This window comes from Homo sapiens, chromosome 3 (genome assembly GCF_000001405.40).
Source record: "Homo sapiens chromosome 3, GRCh38.p14 Primary Assembly".
Classification (NCBI taxonomy): Eukaryota; Metazoa; Chordata; class Mammalia; order Primates; family Hominidae; genus Homo; species Homo sapiens.
This window is the reverse complement of record NC_000003.12, coordinates 77,846,284-77,868,277: the sequence shown is the minus strand read 5'-3', so window position 1 is coordinate 77,868,277 and position 21,994 is coordinate 77,846,284. Positions and strand designations below refer to the sequence as shown.

The 21,994-nt window shown below is 34.2% G+C and overlaps 1 long non-coding RNA gene across 2 annotated transcripts in view; it reads left to right on the top strand.

Annotated features, from left to right (window-relative positions):
• The window catches only part of LOC105377171 (uncharacterized), a 183,241-nt gene extending 161,589 nt beyond the window's left edge, over positions 1–21,652 (top strand). Inside the window, exons 3-7 of one of the 2 annotated variants that reach the window (XR_940977.4) lie at positions 2,190–2,274; positions 8,489–8,592; positions 17,369–17,485; positions 18,807–18,892; positions 20,963–21,652. This is a non-coding gene — a long non-coding RNA (uncharacterized LOC105377171). The remainder of the gene's footprint in view (positions 1–2,189; positions 2,275–8,488; positions 8,593–17,368; positions 17,486–18,806; positions 18,893–20,962) is intronic. The other variant, XR_940978.4, reaches the window with a different exon arrangement.
• Positions 21,653–21,994: the final 342 nt, after the last annotated feature.

Here is a 21,994-nt window from a genome sequence, read left to right as displayed (position 1 = left end):
GCTTACTTGGATATCTGAGTTTTATTAAGGATAAAAATTTTATATTTATTTTCAAGGATAATCAGAGCATATTCATTGTTCTAATTTTCTATTTATCCCTTCTTGATAATATTCAGATAAAAATTTTCTATTATATCACTACAAACATGAAATCAATTATTGGTGTATCCAAAAAGCTCTGATTAGGTGTTTGATATATTTCTCATGTCTTATGAGAAATACATGTTTTTTTCTTCCCATTACTTGTTCATGGATAAATTTTCAGTCAGACTGTAAGGTATTCTAATACAAACTATATTACATTTTTTATTGTTAAAGACTCCCAGCTTTTTAAAGATGTTGGAGATTGACCTGTAGATTTCTGTCACTCAACAAAATTGATTATGTAGATTTGGTTCCATAAAAATTGTAGTGCCATTTCTGTTACTAGTTTCCATAGTACTTATTTTAAAATGATGTACAATGGCATTATTTAACTTATAGTAAATGACATATAATAAGGGCATTATTTTTTATTCTAGGATTTCACATCAGTAAGTCAAATCAGAATTTGATCTTTATTATATACTCCGTTACTTTTAAAACAAAAAAGAAATGAGGTGTAAAATTAAATTCAACCCCATAAGTAAGAGGCAGTTTTATGGTTTGAATGCTTTTATTCTCTCCAAAATTCATATTGCAACTTAATCCCCAGAACAACAATATTGGGAGGTGTGGCCTTTAAGAGGTGATTAGGCCATGAGGGATCCTTCTTCATGAATAAATTAGAGCTCTATAGATAGGGCGTGTAGGAGTGGGCTCGCTCTCTTTTGCACTTCTGCCATATAAGAACAGTATTTGTCTATTTTTGCCCTTCTGCTTCCACCATGTGAGCATGCATTAAAAAGCCCTCGCCAGATGCTAGCACCCTGATCTTGGGCTTCCCAGCCTTTAGAACTATGAGAAATACATTTTTGTTGTGTATAAACTATGCGGTCTGTGATATTTTGTTATAGCAGCACAAAGAAACTAAGATACACAATTTGTTGTAAAGGAAAGACCATTGGTTATGGTGTCTATCAGTCAGAGTTGGGTTCTTTATTGACAGGCAGGAGGGTTTGGAAGTGGCCTCTACATTTTCTTATTTGCTTGTAGTATACTTTAACCTATTGATATTTAAATGACCAGATTATTTCCAGGAATGCTAAGTATGCAAAAGAGGAAATAATAAGGGCATGAATCGAAAACGGTGTCAAAATAAGACAATTACTTAAGAGTCTTAGCTATGAGTGTTTCAATATTTGAATAGTGGCAAAAGTAGACAAGTGTTTAATAGTTGCCTGCGGAGCAGCCTGGTTGGAAGATATGCAAGTAAACATAAATGAGAAAGAAAATATCACGGTTGTAACAAGTTTTATTACTGGTATGGACTCTTAGCCATGTCTTCAAGTACGAAATGAGAATGATATGATCATGTATGAAAAAATGGTGAAAATAACCAGAACAAACAAGAATTTGCACAAATGGAACCACCTACTCCATGGTGAGCTGATCTGTCACTAAGTGTATAGCGTTATGCAAAGATCAGGGCCTAGAAATCATTCTCAAATTCTCTTTAATGAGGATGTCTCCCATTTCAGGGACATAAATGCTGGGAGAAAAAAGGCTGCAATCGAAATGAGAAAGAAAAATTTCTGTGATGATGTTTCCAGAGCAGTTTGGCTTATAACCATGTCAAAATGCCTAGTTATATTGATGATGATGGTGATGGATGCAAATGTGGGGGGCAGATTTATGGCATGAGAGATAAGAAAGTTGTGTATTTCTGGTTAATAGTCTCTAAATTGAGATTAAAGAAAAATATCTCTATAAAGATAATCTTTGGCATTCACGCATAAAGCCTTTAAGTTTATAAAACATTTTGGGGGTTGGTAAGTGTGATGATTAATTTTATGTCAACCACGGGGTACCTAAACTAAACATTTTGTGGGAGGTGTGTCTGCGAGGGTGTTTCCAGCTGAGATTAGCATTGAATCATTGGACTCAGTAAAGTAGATTGCCTTCCCCAGTATGAGCCAATATGAGTGGGCATCATTGAATCTGTTTAGGACCTGAATAGAACAAAAGGCAGAGGAAGAAGAAATTCACTCCTTTTTTTCTGCCTTGCTATTTGAGCTAAGACATCTCATCTCATATTCTTCTGCTCTCAGATTGGGATTTATACCACCAGCTTTCCTGGTTCTCCACCTTGCAGAAAGAAGATCCTGGGACTTCTAGCTCAGCTTCTATAACCATGTGAGTCAATTGCTCATAATAAATCATATATATACATACACACACACAGAGTGAGACAGAGATTATATAGTATCTATATAATCGCTCTCTGTCTCTCCACGTGTGTGTGTGTGTGTGTGTGTACCTTGTCTAATAAAATAAGGTGTTGAGAAAACAAGGTTACAGACCAGTTTGAGACCTAGAAAAGTGAAATAGGTTAAAAATCTGAGAGATGGAATTATAGAAAAGTATGGGCCATTGATCTGGCAAGACAAGAATATCAATTAAGATGTTAGTATTGGAATTCAGAGTGATGGGACTATGTTTAGACAGTAGAGAGTATCGTGGATGGAATTTGACATTGGGAATCAAGTATGAGTAACTTCTGATTCACTGATTTGTATTATAGGTAAAAAGCTTTGGACTCTTTGGGGGTTAATGTGTTTTCATAATCTGTCTTATTAACCTAAATTTAAAAAGAACATAAATTTTCTTTGCCTCATCCCTTACCATTTTCTAATTTCAATAAATTGATGTTTCTGTTTTGTTTTGTTTTGTTTTTTGAGACGGAGTCTCGCTCAGTCTCCCAGTCTGGAGTGAAGTGGCGTGATCTCAGCTCGCTGCAACCTCTGCCTCCCAGGTTCAAGCGATTCTCTGCCTCAGCCTCCCAAGTAGCTGGGATTACAGGCATGCACCACTAAACCCAGTTAATTTTTGTATTTTTAGTAGAGATGAGGTTTCATCATGTTGGCCAAGGAGGTATCGAACACTCGACCGCAGGTGATCTGCCAGCTTCGGCCTCCCAAAGTGCTGGGATTACACGCGTGAGCCACTGTGCTCGGCCAATAAATTGATATTTCTGATTTAACTGTTCGACTATTGTGGAGGAATCCTACTTGATATTTAAAGCTATATTAGTCTCCATTTTTCCTGTGAGTTTTCACTAAACAAATACATAATTTTTTCTCTCATGTTGTCAATTTCACAAAATTCTGCTAACATTTTAAGATTTTTAAGTAAGGTGGTAAATGATTATTGTTTTGGGATTTGAATTAAAGCTATAATTTTTTTCAATTATGTTTTTGTTTTCATTATGTAAAAACATGTCAGCTTTGTTGAGTAGAATTGGTTTGTAAAGCTTGCATCCTTCAGTCTTTAATTTCATTCATGCTTCCTGATTTTATTTTTTTCATCTATAGAAGTAATGATTATAAAGCCCAGAGGAGAATATTTATAAGTCCCCCACAACTGTCTACCTTCCCCAAAATATTCAAGTAAATTTTAACCATTTTGACTTTACATTGATATGTTTTCTGACTCTAAAATTACTTTAAAAATAAATAAGTAAATAAAACCCCATAGCCTAATTCCCCATATAATTTTCAGGATGAGCCGGATTTGGGAATCATCACATCACACATCTCTTTATTCTGTGAACAGAGACAAAATAAATTAAAGGACAATTTTTACATAATCAGTCTTTGCACAATCTATTTTATCAATAGTATCATTAGGGGACTTGATTTATCCAGAAAATGTACTTCAGTGATAAACTTGATTGAGAAGGAGTTTCAATGGAACTTATGATATTACTCTACTAACCACTGGGAACATACTAATTTAAAATCTTTAGTAACTAGAAATCTTCAGTACAGCGAGGGATTCCAGTTGGAATTACAGCTGCAACATCTCACTGTTGAGGTCAGCACTGCATGACAACATACAGAAAAATTTTTCACAACTTTCATTTAAAGAGATTAATTTAAAAGTATTACTAAAGAACGTCCCAGTGTCTTTTGGCTCAAATTAGATTAAGAGATTGAGAAGTGATTCATTTTTAAATAAAGAGGTTTAAGATTAAAGAATGAAGCATGGTATCATTTATTTGTATATCTCAAGGTTTAGGAAACAGTGTTCATTCTGAAGTTAAGGAACTGCCTCTTGAGTCAGGTTCTGATTATATCATGACCCCCTTGTTTACCCCCACCACCAAGATACCCTTGGGACAATGTATGTTTGAATTATCCAAGATTTTTTGAACTGTAAAATCTAGGCAAAATCACTAACGTTGATAAGTTCCCCAAAACCGTATTCCTATCATCTTCTTTTGAGAGTGTCCTTTCTTTCTTCTGACACTTTCTTACTCCTTACAGCAAACCTTCCCCTAACCCCAACAAGCAATGGTGTCTGAAACATATTTTCATAACAATTGCTCTAGTGGCCAGGACTACATCTGGTTTAGCCCCTGGGACCACTTTTCATTCTTATCTCACCCAAAAATTTTTGCTGCAGCAGGCAGTAGAGAGGTTCAAAGACTCAGTGGAGAGCAGCGGTATCTGGCAACCAAATAAATAAAAACGAAGAATTCTAGCTCTATTAATCTGTTCTTACAGTGGTATAAAGATACTACCTGAGACTGGGTAATTTACAAAGGAAAGAGGTTTAATTGACTCACAGTTCCACATGACTGGGGAAGCCTCAGGAAACGTATAATCATAGTAAAGGCGAAGGTGAAAAAAGGACCTTCTTCAGAAGGTGGCAAGAGAGAGAAGTGCAAGTAAGGCAAATGCCAGATGCTTATAAAAGCATCAGATCTCATGAGACCTCACTCACTTTAATGAGAACGGCATGAGGAAAACAGCACCCATGATCCAATCACCTCCCTCCCTTGGCACATGGGGATCACAAGCCCCTCTCTCGACACGTGGGGATTACAATTCGAGATGAGATTTGGGTGGGGACACAGAGCCAAAACGTATCACCAGGAATGTAGATATTACCTTTCTAGCAATGTGGACTTTGAGAACCAGATTTTATTTTCAACATAATACTGCTTACTATGTGCCAGATACCCTTCTAAGTACTTAACAAATAATAACATTTAATTCTAAAACCTATCCCATCCAGTAGGTAACATAACTATTTTCCTTATTTTGCAATGAGGCAGAGATAATTAAGAAATTTGCTCAGAATAGGAGAGCAACTAAATTCCAGGGCCAGTATTTGAGCCCAGGAAAACTGGCTTCAAGTCTGAGCTTTTGGTAACTACAAAATGCTGCCACTTATGAGATTATACAGGGTCAAACAAAGTTAGCGGCACATCTCTGCTACCTATGTATAAAGATGACACTCCAGTAGGGCTGAGTGTCCTGTAAATTCAAGGTATCCTCAGGCTACCAGGTCACATGATATACCATGGCATAACAGGTGTAATGCAATATCCCCATGTGTCCCCGCTATATAACATGAAAAGCACTCACAGACTGCATCGAATGTCATAAAGATTTTCCTTCCAATCTCCTCATGTTATTTTCCTACTAACTTCTTTGGAGAAAACCACCTGCTAGAAGGATTTTCATGTTTCAAATCAACCAGCTAATCTTTAAGGAAACTGTCATAATAGAGACATTTTTGGTGCTTGGCTCATACTGAAAAGTGACTTGTGATGAATCCTGTTGAGTTTTGAAAGAAAGTAGAACAGGGGCTCACCACTAGTCATCTAGTTCCAACTGGAAGAGACAACTTGGTGCTACATCTGAGGTCATTTGGTGTCCTCTTATAGATTTCAGTTGACTTGTCACACCCTTGAGACCAGGGATTCTTGCCATTTTAGAGTCATGGCCCCATTTGAGAAATAGATTAAAAAGTATAGATCCTCTCTCCAGAAAGATTCACAGATGGACACAGAGGGCAAAAGCTGTCTGCAATGTTTACAAACATCACCCTCATCCACTCCAAGTCCAGTGATGGAATCTTTGAGGTCCTTGAACTGGTAGTTAAATGGCTTCACTTCAGAGGAATTGGGAAATGTCCCTTTGACTTGTGATTGTAATTTGAAGACCTGTTCTTTTTTGATAACCTTGTCTTCTTTTGTAGAAAGGTCATTGATCACTGGTGTCTCCAGTGATAAACCCTCAATATAGGCATTTTTGCTTTTTTCTCAGGAAGGTTAACGTTAAGCTAATCTATCTCTGTAGCTGTCTATATCTCTACCCTAGGATCTATGTGAAGTAATAAAATACTACATATAAAAGAAATTAACTTAATTAGCACTGGGTGCAAAATGGCAAAACAATTAAATCTCTAAGTTGCTGCATGTAGAGAAGATAATTAGAAGGTTTTAAAAATAGTTAGCAAGGAGCATAACTTGCTCCTTCAACTCTCACCCAAATAAAAGGGGCTTTTACCCATGAAAAGATTAGAAAGTAAAATATATGTGCAAAGAGGGAATGTAGAAAACATTGGAAACAAATTGGAAATGGGACAGAGAAAGCTAGAATTAAGCCATTCTTTCATTTAAAAATAATTTACTGGGCACGGAAACTATTTGCATAAAGAGCTTCAGCCATACAAAAAGAAAGTCACCCATTAGTTTAGATAACTTGATCTTGTTATGTATTTTCAAGGCTACCTAAACTTGGACTATTATAGTACTTATTAACTTTTACTTATTTTATTTTGTAATTGTGTGATTTTGCTGCTAAACCGTACATTTCAAGAAGGTAAGGATCACATACACTATTTTAATGTCAGTGCCTTACCCTACTTATAGTTCTTATTAGGGAATACATAATGATAATACAAATAATAGAATTTGAAGTGTGTTTCGGGCACTGTACTAAGTACATTTCCACTTATATTTCTTTTAATTGCAATAGCTATGAGAATGTTTTGGTAATTTGAAGTAAGTATAATAGTATATACATGATCTATGTATGGATGAATATTTGTTAACTAAATAAATCTATTAATGCATTTTTCAGAATTCATAACAATTTTACTTAGCATTGTGACAGTAATTTAAGTAAATTCCAAGCAATCTTTTTTGCATTTAGTAACTAGGTTCTATATATGGAAGGTCTGTAACTAAACATATTGCTATTGCACAAGACAAACATGAAAGGTATAAATCAAATCAAACAATACAAAAAAAGAAATCCAAATCTGAAAAATCTAAGGCAGAGATTGTTCTCTTGGTTATATCTTGGTAAGTATTATCATCATTTCCTTGGTAAAGAGGACATGAAAAATCGCCCCAAACTCCACTGAATATCATCTATACTTTAGATAAGTAGTTTTTGCTTTGGTTAACCCTATTGTAAATTTTACATATTTATCAACCCAAATGCAGGTGTATTTGTTCATAACCAATCCCCTGGTTGATTTCATAAAATCCCAAGTTAAGAAACTGTTCCTTGTGTTGGCTTAGTGGATATTAATTATTATATTGAGTTTCTGGGCCTCTAATGAACAGAGATGTTTACCCTTTCAAGAGGACTGTCTTAAATAGACTTGTTTCAGCTCATATGTGCCATATATTCCAAGATCTACAAAGTACATAAAATGTCCTTACATCTGGAGGAGACCATCAAATAGTTTCACGTAATTCTTTTTTTTTTTATTATTATACTTTAAGTTTTAGGGTACATGTGCACAATGTGCCGGTTAGTTACATATGTATACATGTGCCATGCTGGTGTGCTGCACCCAGTAACTTGTCATTTAGCATTAGGTATATCTCCTAATGCTATCCCTCCCCCACCCCACCCCACAACAGTCCCCAGAGTGTGATGTTCCCCTTCCTGTGTCCATGTGTTCTCATTGTTCAATTCCCATCTATGAGTGAGAACATGCAGTGTTTGGTTTTTTGTCCTTGCGATAGTTTGCTGAGAATGATGATTTCCAATTTCATCCATGTCCCTACAAAGGACATGAACTCATCATTTTTTCTGGCTGCATAGTATTCCATGGTGTATATGTGCCACATTTTCTTAATCCAGTCTATCATTGTTGGACATTTGGGTTGGTTCTAAGTCTTTGCTATTGTGAATAGTGCTGCAATAAACATACGTGTGCATGTGTCTTTATAGCAGCATGATTTCTAGTCCTTTGGGTATATACCCAGTAATGGGATGGCTGGGTCAAATGGTATTTCTAGTTCTAGATCCCTGAGGAATCGCCACACTGACTTCCACAATGGTTGAACTAGTTTACAGTCCCACCAACAGTGTAAAAGTGTTCCTATTTCTCCACATCCTCTCCAGCACCTGTTGTTTCCTGACTTTTTAATGATTGCCATTCTAACTGGTGTGAGAAGACATTTATGCAGCCAAAAGTTTCACATAATTCTAATCATCATGGAGATACACATTTAATAACCTGCTTTATTTCCTCTTCTCACAGCACAAGCTGTTGGGAGACATGTCTCACTCAAGCAATTGTCTTTTGTTTGCAGAACTACCAACACTTTTCAAATTTAAATCCTACAAACAAGCTGAATTTGATTAAGTATTCTTCAGGTGGCTCTATCAAATACTCTTGTATAATATCAGTATGAAGGTAAGGCTTTTAATGAAACTCCAGCATTCAATTTCAACCCAAACTATACTATCAAACTATAAAAAAGATATTTTCTTCATTGCTCCACTTGCCCTGTTTCAGCTTCTCTAAACATTCGTCTTTTAAAATGCTGAATGCATGATAGAAGCACTGCATTCAATCCACCCACTGAGAGAAAGGCAACACATTTTCAAATTCCCAGAATGATGTTGAGCTAGGGAAGGGAAGAAAGACAGCCATCTGTATTACCAGGGCAAAATTGACTTCTGAGATCAATAAAAATTATAATTAAGCAGTGGAAATTTATCCCTCTTAAAGCATTCCATTTCTCAAATATTTAAATGATGACTTTGCAATACGACTTTCACTTCATCAGCGTCTCTGCGGAAATTGGAAATTACAGTATGTGATACAATTAAAATGTATATCCACAACCACTCAGAATAATCATGGCTAATTAGAAATTATGAATCATTAAAATAACATGGTTTTCTGTCAGTATGTGTGCACAGCACATTCATGTCTTCTGACTTCCCAATTCAATCTCAATAAACCTAAGGAGGTACATTTGTTATAATATTTCTATTAAGCTTTTCCATTAGGTAAATTACCATTACAGCCAAAGTTTAAAGGTTATCTGGGCTAGCAAACTACTCAACATAGCTAATATGTATAATTAGCTGTGGTTAGATTCCACATTAAACTTTTCCACTGCTATTTAGTGAATTTTCAAAAACAAATCATTTATGCAGGCTTATCAAAGTTGCTGCAGTACTCCTGATAGAATTCAGAATATCTTTATTGTCATAAAATACTAATTTCTATTTTTTTGTATCTATCAATTTTAAGGCTGACTATAAAATCATCCAAATATTTCAGTATTTCTGATACATTGTTTGAAATATCCTATGGAGAAAGTAAATGTATATTGAAAAAAAGAAGAAAAGAAAACAAGTAGAATTAAATTCAAACAATAATTTCTTTGAAAATTAAAAAACTGGTATTTTTTAAAACAAAATGTTTAGTATGAACTTAGAGGACACAAAATTCCTGTAAAAAATTGATGCTGTTTAAATATGCTAGATTTTAACACTATTCTCAGAGAACTTCAAATATCCAGTTTTTGTAATAAATTCTCCGATATATGAGAGAGATTAGAGTGAGAAATTCCAAGAAAGATAGCCACAAAAGAAGCCTTTGCTCCAATTGTCAACGTATTCTTTGCCAGGCCAAAGTACAGAGATGAGGCTTGTACAGCTCCTTTTTAAGCTAAACCATTGAGGCAGAGGGAAAAAATACTATTAAAGAAAATGATGAACCTGGTTGGACCTGTTCTCTCAGAAGGAACTGCTGGCAGTTCCAAATTTATAATCTAAAGAAAAGCTTCAGAAATTTCAGTTTCTGAAAACATGGTGAAGATGCTCCAAAGTTTAAGTAGAATATGATTCCAGAAATATCCAACCGGAATAGAAAGAACTTGGTGTCCAACTACAAAGTTTAAAGAAACTAGTGGTGAGAAAGGATTGAGTGCAACAGATAGCCGGTAGCAATTTGCCCATAGATGTATATGCTCTAATTACTATTGTGTCTATAGATACAGATAAAAACCACTGTGGATGCACAGAATGTTCTCCAGTTGATGCAGAACTGATGTTGCCGTCATTGATGTGCTGGTTATCAAGCTGTTGTCTCGCAGCTTCAAAGCCGCCCTTTTATGCCCTTCTTTGTGGTGCTGTCTGGGGAATTATAAACCACGTTTCTACTTTGCCACCTGAGATCACCTCAGGCTCTGCCAATGGGGGGAATTAGAAAGGGACTGGAAGGCTGGAAGAGGAAGAAGAAACTTACTCTGTGTTTTTCATTCTCTTCCTTTCAGTGTTACTTCAACAGTAATGTTTAACATCTGTTTCCAGGTCAGTTTTTCCCATCTCAAGAACAGATGTGGCCCCTCACAGATACCAGCACTAGTGGGTTAATACTCCCTCCCCTGAGTTCTGGGTTCTACATCTGACCCAATCTTCTAGATTTTACTTTTTTTTGTATGAATAAGTTAACCTTTTTAAAACTATTTTCTTTAATTGACAAGTAAAAATTGTATATATTTAAAATATACAACATAATCTTTTGATATATGTATACTTTGTGAAATGACAAAATCAAGTTATTTAATATACCTGTTACATCACTTATTTTTTGGTGATGAAAACACTTAAAATCTACTCTCAGTAATTTTGAAATACAAAATATATTGTTAACTGCAGTTATCACGATGTACAATAGATCTTTTGAAGTTATTCCTCCTTTCTAACTGAATTTTTTTGTCCTTTGACCAACACCTCCACAATCCTCTCCCCACCCCTCCATCCTTCCCCAGCCTCTGATAACCAGCATTTTATTCTCTGTTTCCATGAGTCTGACTCTTTTACGTTCCACATGTAAGTGAGATCATGTGGTATGTTGTCTTTTTGTGCCTGGTTTATTTCATTTAACATAAAAATCCTTTAGGTTTATCCATGTATGGGAAATGACAGAATTTCCTTCTTTTTTAAGGGTGAATAGTACTCAATGATGTGTGTGTGTGTGTGTGTGTGTGGGCATTACACTTTAAAAAATTAATTCTTGCATTGAAAGATATTTAGATTGTTTACATATCTTGGCTATTGTGAATAATACTGTAATGAACATGGGTCTGCAAAAATCTCTTTGGCAAACTAATTTTATGGTTTTTGGATATATACCTAGTAATAGGACTGCTGAATAATGCAGTGGTTCTATTTTAACTTTTTGAGGAACCTCCATGCTCTTTTCCATAATGGCTGTACTGACTTACCTTCCCACCAACAGTGAGCAAGGGTTCCTCCCAGCACTTCCTCACCAACATTTATCTTTTGACTTTTTGATCATAGCTGTTTTAATAGGTGTGAGGTGATATTTCACTGTGGCTTTAATTTGCGTATCCCTGATGATTAATGGTGTGGAGCATTTTTTCATATACTTGTTGGCTCTTCTAGCTTCTAAGAATCCCAGCTTTTTATTTTTAAAGCGGGTTTTCTCAGACTTAGGGATGGTAGCTGCTGCTTGCGGTTCCCCCTCTCAGATACTTCAGTGTTGCCTTTGTTTTTTCAGCCTTTCAGTACTGATTTAACTAATTCTCTATATTAAATTTTCTCTATTAAAATAATTACTGGTGTCACTTTCTGACTGGACCCTAATTGTTACTGTAGTAATAAATAACAATTTTAATATTGATACATTCAGGGTTGCTTTGTAATTTCTAGTTCTGGCTTGTAATTTAAGTTCTGGCCACAGTGAACATGAGCAGTGTGTCCAGCAGCTTTTCCTTTGAGGAAACACCCCATCTTTAATGCCTTGGTCCCAGTGGGGTATATTAGTCCATTGTCGTACTGCTATAAAGAACTGAGACTGGGTAAGTTTTAAAGAAAAGAGGTTTAATTGACTCACAGTTTAACAGGGCTGGGGAAGCCTCAGGAAACTTACAATCATGGCAGAAGGTGAAGCACAAGCGAGGCACCTTCTTCAAAAGGAGGCAAGAAGGAGAAATACTGAGCAAAGGGGAAAGAGTCCCTTATAAAATCATCAGATCTCATGAGAACTCACTATCATAAGAACAGCGTGGGGGAAACCAACCCCATGATTCAGTTTACCTGCACCTAGTTTTTCCCTTGATACCTGGGAATACCTACAATTCAAGATGAGATTTGGGTGGGGACACAAAGTCTAACTGTATCATGGGGGTAGTGGTGCTATTAAAGCTGGTATTCCATCCCCATGACAGGAGTGGAGTTAGGACCCAGGTTGACCAATTAGACCTTCTCAATCCTATACTACAGAGATTGGTTGGGGGTAGGCGTGCGATGTAGTTAGGTCAATCATAGTCTTCTCTGGGACTTTTCTACTAGAGTTGGTGAAGTTACAGTAGTGGGAGAATTAGAAGTTGTGGCAGCTAGCTTCCAACTTACCCTCTTGTTTGGAATTTTCATCCACAGTAGAAGGAAATGAGAAAAGGAAGAAGGAGAGATAGAGGTAGAGATAGAGATAGAGATAGGGGTAGAGATAGAGATAGAGAGATAGCAAGTAAAAACAAATTTCATCTGAATTCTTATCCAGTCATTGATTGTTAGTCAACCAGCAACTTCTCAGGCATCATTTTATTCTATCACTTGTAAGCAAAAGTTGTCTAACTAATATGCATCAGCAAGGGTCAGGTGAAGGTCTAAATAAACATTAGTGCTGGGCCACACAACCATGACAACAAAAATTGTATGTTGAAATAGCCAGAAAACATATACTTCAAGTTTATAGAGCCTGTAATCAAGGTATTTTCACATTTATTGTTTAAAAAACAAGAAAAAATGTATTGCCAATATTTAGGAGGCTGGTGTAGTCTTTTGGCTTACAAATGAAATCGGTAGAAAAGGTTCTCTGTTGACTATTTATTTTTCAAGTTTTCATGGTATATTATTAATTAGTATATACAAAACTAATTATGATTCAGAATTTCATCTTGCTTGAAGGGATGTAATGAAGAGTAACAGTTTTTTGGCTTTGCATGTCTCATATGACCCATTACAAACCAGTAGAGAATCACATTTAATATGTCAGTGTTTCACAAGATAATAAACAAATTAGAACAGCTAACCTAAATTTAAAAAGTACCAGCTTTAGATGTCTCCTGATACTTGAATTTTCAGTACAGACACATGTCAAGTAAATAGTCATTTCCTGTACACACTTCTCTTAAAAGCTGATGGTCTGTTTCCTTTCATTTGACCTTGAGCAGCAAAGAGACACAAAGAAGTTCAGGAAGGCTTGTGATTTCTTATTTCTTCTGGGGGTAGAGATATTTTCCCTGGCTCTTAGAAAAGGGCCTGCTCCAGCTGTGAAAGAAACTTCTCCTTAGAGATATGCAGCCAGGCAGGATTTTTGTTTCATCTCAAAGGGAAAGACTCCGAGAAAGAGCAGAAAGAACATTCACCACTGGAATGGCCCACCATAACGCATCATACATATGTGATTTTTCTTCTTACTCTGACAGCATCAGCTGCCCCTCAGAGATCTTCAATGTAAAAGCCAAGAGGGATTCTAGCAGCCCACAAACTTTGTGTGATTTATGATATCCAAAAGCCCATTTTTATTTAGTTCTGTTGCCATTATTTCCAAGACTGTTTACAAAAGCTTATGGTCCAATTGATGAAAGTTAATTGGGTTAGAAGCGTGAGGATCAGATGTCCAGTTTTCACTGAATTTTCCAGGCTTCCCCAGGTTGGCTCTCTCAGATACTTTTTTCTCTTTGAGCATCCAATAAATGTTGATCCTGCAATGTACTTTTTTATTTTAACTTAATATTTACATATACAATCATACATCTCTTTCTATTCATGCAACTGTGGTATAGTCAGGAAAACTGGAAAAATGCATGACTGTGCTTTTCTTCCTTCCTTGCTGCCTATTATTTGATTCTTTATTCCTCTCTGCCAATACACACATACCACAAGGAAAGCCGAGATGACTGCATTGAGCTAGAATGATAGAATCATATTATTCAGTTTCTCCTATGGTCATATACAAATGAAATTTTTCCCTAGTCTTAGAGGTATTCATACTGATTTTCTGTTCCTTAATTGGGCCATGAATATGTTAAGTAACTCATCTCCATTCTTTGATTTTGGGTCTCACTCTCTCCTTGTATTTTCTCTATCATTGTGGAAAAGAGAGCTGTATCACACTTGAATTTACTATACTGTCATTTTTCTTACATTTTATATAATTTGTGTATGTACATATTAGGTGTATATATTTATGAGGTGCATGAGATGTTTTCATACAGGTGTGCAATGGGAAATAAGCACATTATGGAGAAGGGGGCATCCTTTCCCTCAAGCATTTCTTCAAGTTACAAACAATCCATTTACACCTTTAAGTTATTTTTAAATGTACAATTGAGTCATAATAAATAGTCTATTAAATATTGACTGTTGTGCTATTAAATAGCAGGTCTTATTCATTCTTTTTGTCTTGATGAAAAACATTTCCTAATGGTTTTGCAGTAACAGAGTATTTAAAATTTTGGATTTGTTGTTGTTGTTGTTGTTGTTAATCAAAAAGTGTTGGGAGATTCAAGGAAGGAAACAAAGGCTTAACCATCTGCGTGTATACAATCAATTGAGTAAGCCACACGTTACAGTCACACAAACTTTTCAAATATCTAAAAATACATCTGAGTCACTTTTTTGCCGTATTAAAATATTTTGCTAACACATTTGTTGTGTAGACATCACCATAATCAATTAAACTAAATTGAACAATTTATAGTGTTTATCAGTATTTGGCACATAGTAAATGCCTATCAATGTCAATTATTAATATTGTCATATTAATTAGCCACCTTTAAAATGCTTGCCAGCACTTTGGGAGGCCAAGGTGGGAGGATCACCAGAGGTCAGGAATTCGAGACCAGCCTGGCCAACATGGTAAAACCCCGTCTCTACTTAAAAATACAAAAATTAGCCAGGCGTGGTGGTGTGCATCTGTAATCCCAGCTACTCAGGAGGCTGAGGCAAGAGAATCACTTGAACCCAGAGGGTAGAGGTTGCAGTGAGCCATCCCACTTCAGCCTGGGTGACAGAGTAAGACTCCGTCTCAAAAAAAAAAAAATACCTTTACTGACACGACAAAGAGTGATTTTCTTTCTTTTTATAATGAAAACTTTGTATGTGAATTGCAATTCATTTTTCCTGTATAACCTTCATAAGGGTACCCTGAAACCACTCAACACTGTACCAAGACAACTTATGCCATATCACATATGGGGGACGCATCTCATATAACACTTCAAGTTTCATAAAACTGGTTTTCCATATGCTCAAAAAATATCTTTTAAGCATTCTGCATTATTTTACTCATTAAATAGTCTCTTCAGCATAGCAAAATTGAGCAAAATTTTCTCTTTAATATCCAGAGTCAAACATCCACAATACTGATGAAACAACTTTGTCCTCTCTCTGAGGATAACAAAGTGTCCACTAACCTGTACACTTTATGTGTGCAAATATAGTGATATAACCTGTAAACTTTACACATGCAAATATAGTGATATAACCTGTAAACTTTATGCATGCAAATATAGTGATATCATGTAGTTCACTTAGCAATAATGCTTGATACACATCTCTGGGGATTATCTCTCTGACTGATGCACTACAAATATTATATACAATATGTAAAACTTTATTAAAAAATAATTTATTTTCACTTGTATGTTACCTGATTTTAAAATATAAAGGGTGATAAAAAGAATTTGTATATATTAAAAAAATTAAATGTTACATTGATTTTGTTTATGTTTGTAAAGGTTCATTAAATCTATATGTAATGGGACAGTTACATAACTTTTTAATAAAGACAAAGGAGTAAACACAGTGATTAAGTTAGCACTACTAACCTGTCATACAAGGTAACTGATACTTCCTTTATTGCAATGTAATAATATTTCAAATATGATGGTAAAACATAACTAGGTACTGAATATTGTCCTGTCAGAAATTAAAACTATATACCTGGGGACTAAAAGTGCATGAAGAATTGTATAAAAAATAAAAATCTTTTTAGTAAATTATGTTCATTTGTTTATCTCACAATTGGTATGACATGAGTTTTAAATATGTAAAAATAGCTTTAAATGCCATACTGTATAAGACTTAGTTTATTTATACCATATTTTATTTTACATTTAAAAAAAGACATTTTATAGGGTAAGTGCAATTGATTTCTCTTAATAAGATTGTTCTCAGAAAATAAGAATGTCCTACTAAAATCATTTACTTCCCTTTTAATCTATTATATATTTATGGATTTAAATTACACTAGAAAGTGCTTTTATTTGCATGAATGTCCCTTACAGCATATTGCAATTTGGTCACATTTGATTACCACATTCACAAACTACATGAGTGAATACTTTTCCCAACAAATTACTTCAAATATGGATGGATGTTTGGTCATCTGTATTACCAATATGCATTAATTTTCCCTTATATCCTATATAGTTGTCTGTGTTAGGCTGTGATAGCTGACTCCTCACATGAAAATTGAATTCAGGTGGAAATTATATTGGAAGAAAATAACCCATAAAATACAAAATCCATTTATATGAAATACATAATTCAATACTTGGAAGTCACACAAAGCTCTGGGTGCATATAAGCAGATGCCATTGCTATTTATTATTCAAAGCTATAGAGATCAATAGTGAGCACAGACCCATTCATCTAATTAATGACATATTTGCTAAGTCAAAATTATAATAAGTTCTGGGGCTTAAAATATTCTTTAAGTAAGGATTTAACATATTCCTTTAAAAATAGGAAAGTTAGGTAATGCTATTACTATTTACATTGGATTATACGGTCATCAAATTTATAAAAATATCAACAGCATTTTAGTGGAAAATATCTTTGGTTGTATCTTGGATCTACTGTGGGTGCAACAAAAAATATGACTCTAGTAACTTCAGAAACACTGACCTAACAGAAATATTTTAGAATCTAATAAAGATCGTTTTAAATCACAGATGAAACTACAATTTTTTTTCTAAAGGGCAAACCAATCTAATTCTAAAGAGAACAAATTCACTAGCTATAAAAGCTATAGCCAATTGCCCAGAAGTGATAAAACTTGGAAGAAGATAATTTAAATACTATAAATATTACTCAAAAACTGATGTAATTTTCATCCATTTTCTTGAATTCCCAAGTAGCCCAGGAAGACAGTAGAGCATAATTTAATATGAAAAGGAGGTAGAGTTGGAGGTCTGCATCTGTTTCTACCTTATGGAGAATCAACAGCAAATACTTGGTTCCTGGAATACAGGGAGGTAAGGATAGATTATTAAGAATAAAAATAAATGGGAGATACTAATGCAAATATTTCTATGTCTATAGTTTAGTGCCAGTAAGGTTACTGTAAATGCAAATATTTTCATAAAATGATGTAAAGGCTAAATATATATCATATGATGGTTGTCTTTACTGACCATTCTGTCAAAAAAAATAAATCAGGTTAAAAGATCCAAATTACACCAATTTAATTATTACATAAATTAACAGAATCTAGTTTAGGCAAACAAATCATTTCTCACTCAAGATAGCAAATCTTGAGGAGAGGGGTTTGAGACAAGCCTGGCAGCATGGTAAAATCCCGTCTTTACTAAAACTACAAAAATTAACTGGGCATGGTGTTGCATGCCTGTAAGCCTAGCTGCTCGTGAGGGTGAGACACAAGAATCGCTTGAACCTAGGTGGAGGTGGAGGTTGCAGTGATCCAAGACTGTGCCACTGCACTCCAGGCTGGGCAGCAGGGTGAGACTCTGTCTCAAAAAAAGAAAAAGAAAAAAGCAAGAATAAGCACATGGAATATAGATGAGAATATTTATGGATAGGATATTTATTGTATATCATTTTAGATGTTGATTTTTTTCTGGAATCCTTAGACAAAGGATTAAAGTCAAATATTCATCCTTAATGCCTCTCTTAGAGAAGCAAATTATTTTTAACACTTTAGCTGTTTTTTTATATTTGTATAGATATTAACTGTCATGTTTTTATTGTTTTTCCTTACTTTCTGAGTTCTAATTTGTTGACTTACTAAATATAGGAAGAATCTTTAGCTCTTATTCATGCTCCACATTTTGTACACAAAAATAAATTCACAAACACGCAAATACACATAAACACACAAAATCCTCTGAGTCCCACAGCTTACCAGATTTATTGCATTATTATTTTTAAATAATAATTGAGATTTATGTTATTTCATCTTTGTAAGTTTTATTTACAGATACTCTGTAACATGTAACCTCATCACATTTCCCTTCTTTTATCATTATCATGTTGGAGTTGGTAACTAAATTAATTCTTATTTACTTAGTCTTTTCATTCATCCTCAAATCTTTGTCAGAAGTTTAAACTCCCCTAACATGCAATATATATCCCAAGGAATCTATCCACTTTTTTTTTTTTTTTTTTTGAGATCTCTTTCCTTGAATTGCCAGCCTTCTGCCTCAATTTGGATTGGTTGATTTCCTGGCATGCTATAGGAGTTTGTTGATATTTTCTCTAATTTCTTGGGAATACCATTCATGTATAACCTGGGTTGAACAATTAACTTCTTCAATCTCATGTCTTTCTGTTTCTTAGGAGAAAAATCCAACAGGAGTATGATGGAAAAACAAATGAGCCAGGAATCCAAATTCTGCATGATATTTAGTCTGGAAGATAGAAAAGTAGGTGCAAAAATGGAAGGACACACAGTGGCAATTTAACATGCTAGTAATATTCTATTAATCTGATTGGTAAAAATTTGAAGATCTTTTAATTATTGTTAAATTACACACACACACACACACACACACACACACACACACACACACACATATATTTAATTCACCTTTTAAAAGTTCAATATATTTCACAATTTTAAACAAAAATCCCAAAGAATTTGATCCAGCTTATGCTAGAAAACTTAAAATATAGGAATTTAGGTAATCTTTTTTTTTTTTTAATTAGAAATGAAGAGATGAAATTGATCCTGAAGGCCTGACCCTGCATTTAGAGCCCATTTATTTTGGAAATTTGCCCAGACTACTTTGGGGAGATAGTCTTACATTTTTAAAAATTCTTGACATAAAGTTATTTACCTTAAAAATATCACATTAAGATATAATTTCACCACAGTTAAAATAGCTTTTATCAAAAGTACTAAAAATAATGAATGCTGATGAAGACATGGAGAAAGCAGAACATTCATACACTGTTGGGGGCAATGTAAATTAGTGCAGCCACTCTAAAAATCAGTATGGAAGTTCCTCAGAAAGCCAAAAACAAAACTGCTGTATGATCCAGCAATTCTACCACTGAGTATACATTTTTAAAAAGGGAAATCAGTGTATCAAAGATATATCCGCACTCCATGGTCATTACAGCACTATTCACAATAGCCGAGATATAGAATCAATCAAAGTGTCCATCATCAGACGAATGGATAAAGAAAATGTGGCACATATATACAATGGAATGTTATTTACTCATAAAAAATGAATGGAATTTCATTATTTGCAACAACACAGATAGAACTGAAGGCCATTTTGTTAAGTGAAATAAGCCAAGAAGCACTGTCAGATGAAGCAGTGGAAAGTGAAAGACAAATATTACATGTTCACACTTATAAGTGAATGCTAAAACATCAATCTCCTGAAGACAGAGAGTAGAATTATGGTTACCAATGCCTGGGAAGAGTGGTGGGGCTGGGGGAATTAAAAGGGGTTGATTAATGGGTAGAAAAATACAATTAGAAAAAATAAGATCTAGTGTTTGGTATCACAATAGGATGACTACAGCTAATAATACTTTACTGTATTTTTAAAATTAAAGGAGTGGAATTGGAATATTCCTAACACAAAGAAGTGATAAATATTTTAGATGATGGATTTCCTGATTACCCTAATTTGATCATTACACATTGTGTACTTGTATCAAAATATCATATGTACCCCTTAAGTATGTATAACTATTACGTATTCATACAAGTTTTAAAAATAAAATATAATTATTTTTCCACTTAAGATTTGAAAAATTAAAGTATTGAATGATGGAAGAAACAGTATGAAGATCAAGATTTTAAAAATACTTCTATCTTTGAGTTACAAAGAGCTAAATATTTATATTTTAAAGGTAACTTAGTTTGGGAATATAAATAGAATGAAAAGGAAACTGAAGCAATATTTTTGGAATATGTAAACCATTTAGAGTAGAACTGAATTTAAAAGCATATGAATACCACCTTATACTAATGTAATAAAATGAAAAGTACTAAAGTACACCATAAAATTGCAACTGGAATAAAACTCCATGATTTTAAAAAATATATAGTTTTACAAATAATAAGTGTTTAAAGATGATGTGTTGCCAATTTCTTTAGCATATTAATAGTAATCTCTCAAAAAGGTATTAATTTATAATGTAAGTTTAATAAACCTCATCTCCAACATATTCTTAAGAGAAAATGTGGGAAATATTTTGTTGTAAATAATAGAGATACTATTGGCTTATAAAAATATTGCATTAGTTAGTAGAGAAGTAACATAAAACAACTTGAAATTATACAACTTGACCTCTTCTATATATTAATATGTGCAAAAATTTTATTATACTCTTACATTTAAAAACATGTCAGATTATATAACAAAATTATGAGATAATAAAATTAGACAAGTAATTTATCAAATTTTTTATACAAACATTACTGAGTTTATATTTTGGGCAAGTAATAAACTAGTATATCATTCTAACCTCAGTGGTTTCATTGAAGACAAGGGAAGAATGTTTCAAGCCGAAAAGAGTCAACAGTGTCAGATGCAACAGAGGAACAGTGAAAGAAAACTTTAAAGACAACTGAAATAATTTGGCAAGTCAGTCATTGATGACGTTTGCCTGACAGTATCATTGAAATGGTGAGGTGAGAAGACTGATTTCAACTTCCTCTTGTGCATGGGGGGAGAGAAATGAGAGTATTGCATGATGACAAATAAAATTTCCAGGAGCCTAGTGATGAAGGGACATAGACATTAAGAGATGTGAGGGGCGTTTGGTGTTTTGCTTGTGTATACAAATGTGTTTTTCAAGTTTGAGCAGATTTAAGCTCTTTAAAAATTCTGGATCCAAATCACAATAGGAATACTAAAGTGCACTTAAAATATTTGTATTATTGTTAATCATATTTGATACTGTTTTTTCATGTGTAAAATTATTTGATATGTATCTCTAGCCATAAAAATTATTTAACTCAAATCTATTTTACTGTTGAATAGAAACAATTTAAAATTAGGTGCTGGATCTCCCTGATCTGTATCCCAACCACTTTGGCTACTCATGCATACATACATATATGTATATATGTATACACATGTGTGTGTGTGCACTTATGTGCTTCATTATGTGTTGTTGAATTAAACTAGATAATAAAAATAAAAATGTGTATTCCACTATCTAGATTCTCCTGGTAAACCTAATGGAAATATTTTAATCTAATAGAAATATTTTAACCTATTAGGAATAATTCAGTAAAATGGTGTGGGTTGTAGATGAACAGGCATGTCAGGTTACTGAGAAAAGCATCCTTGCCAAATATTTGCTTTTCCTCGGTGTGTTATGGTATTTTTTTTAAATCCCAGCATTTCTTTAGTTCATCATGTCATCAAATATTATCTGTAATATAAGAAAAATTCACCATGCCAAAATATTTACCCACCCTTATAAAATGATGTGGCAACCCAAGCTTTTCTAAGTACATTGAAGATTAATAGATTAATTACTAGTTACCCAGGGGT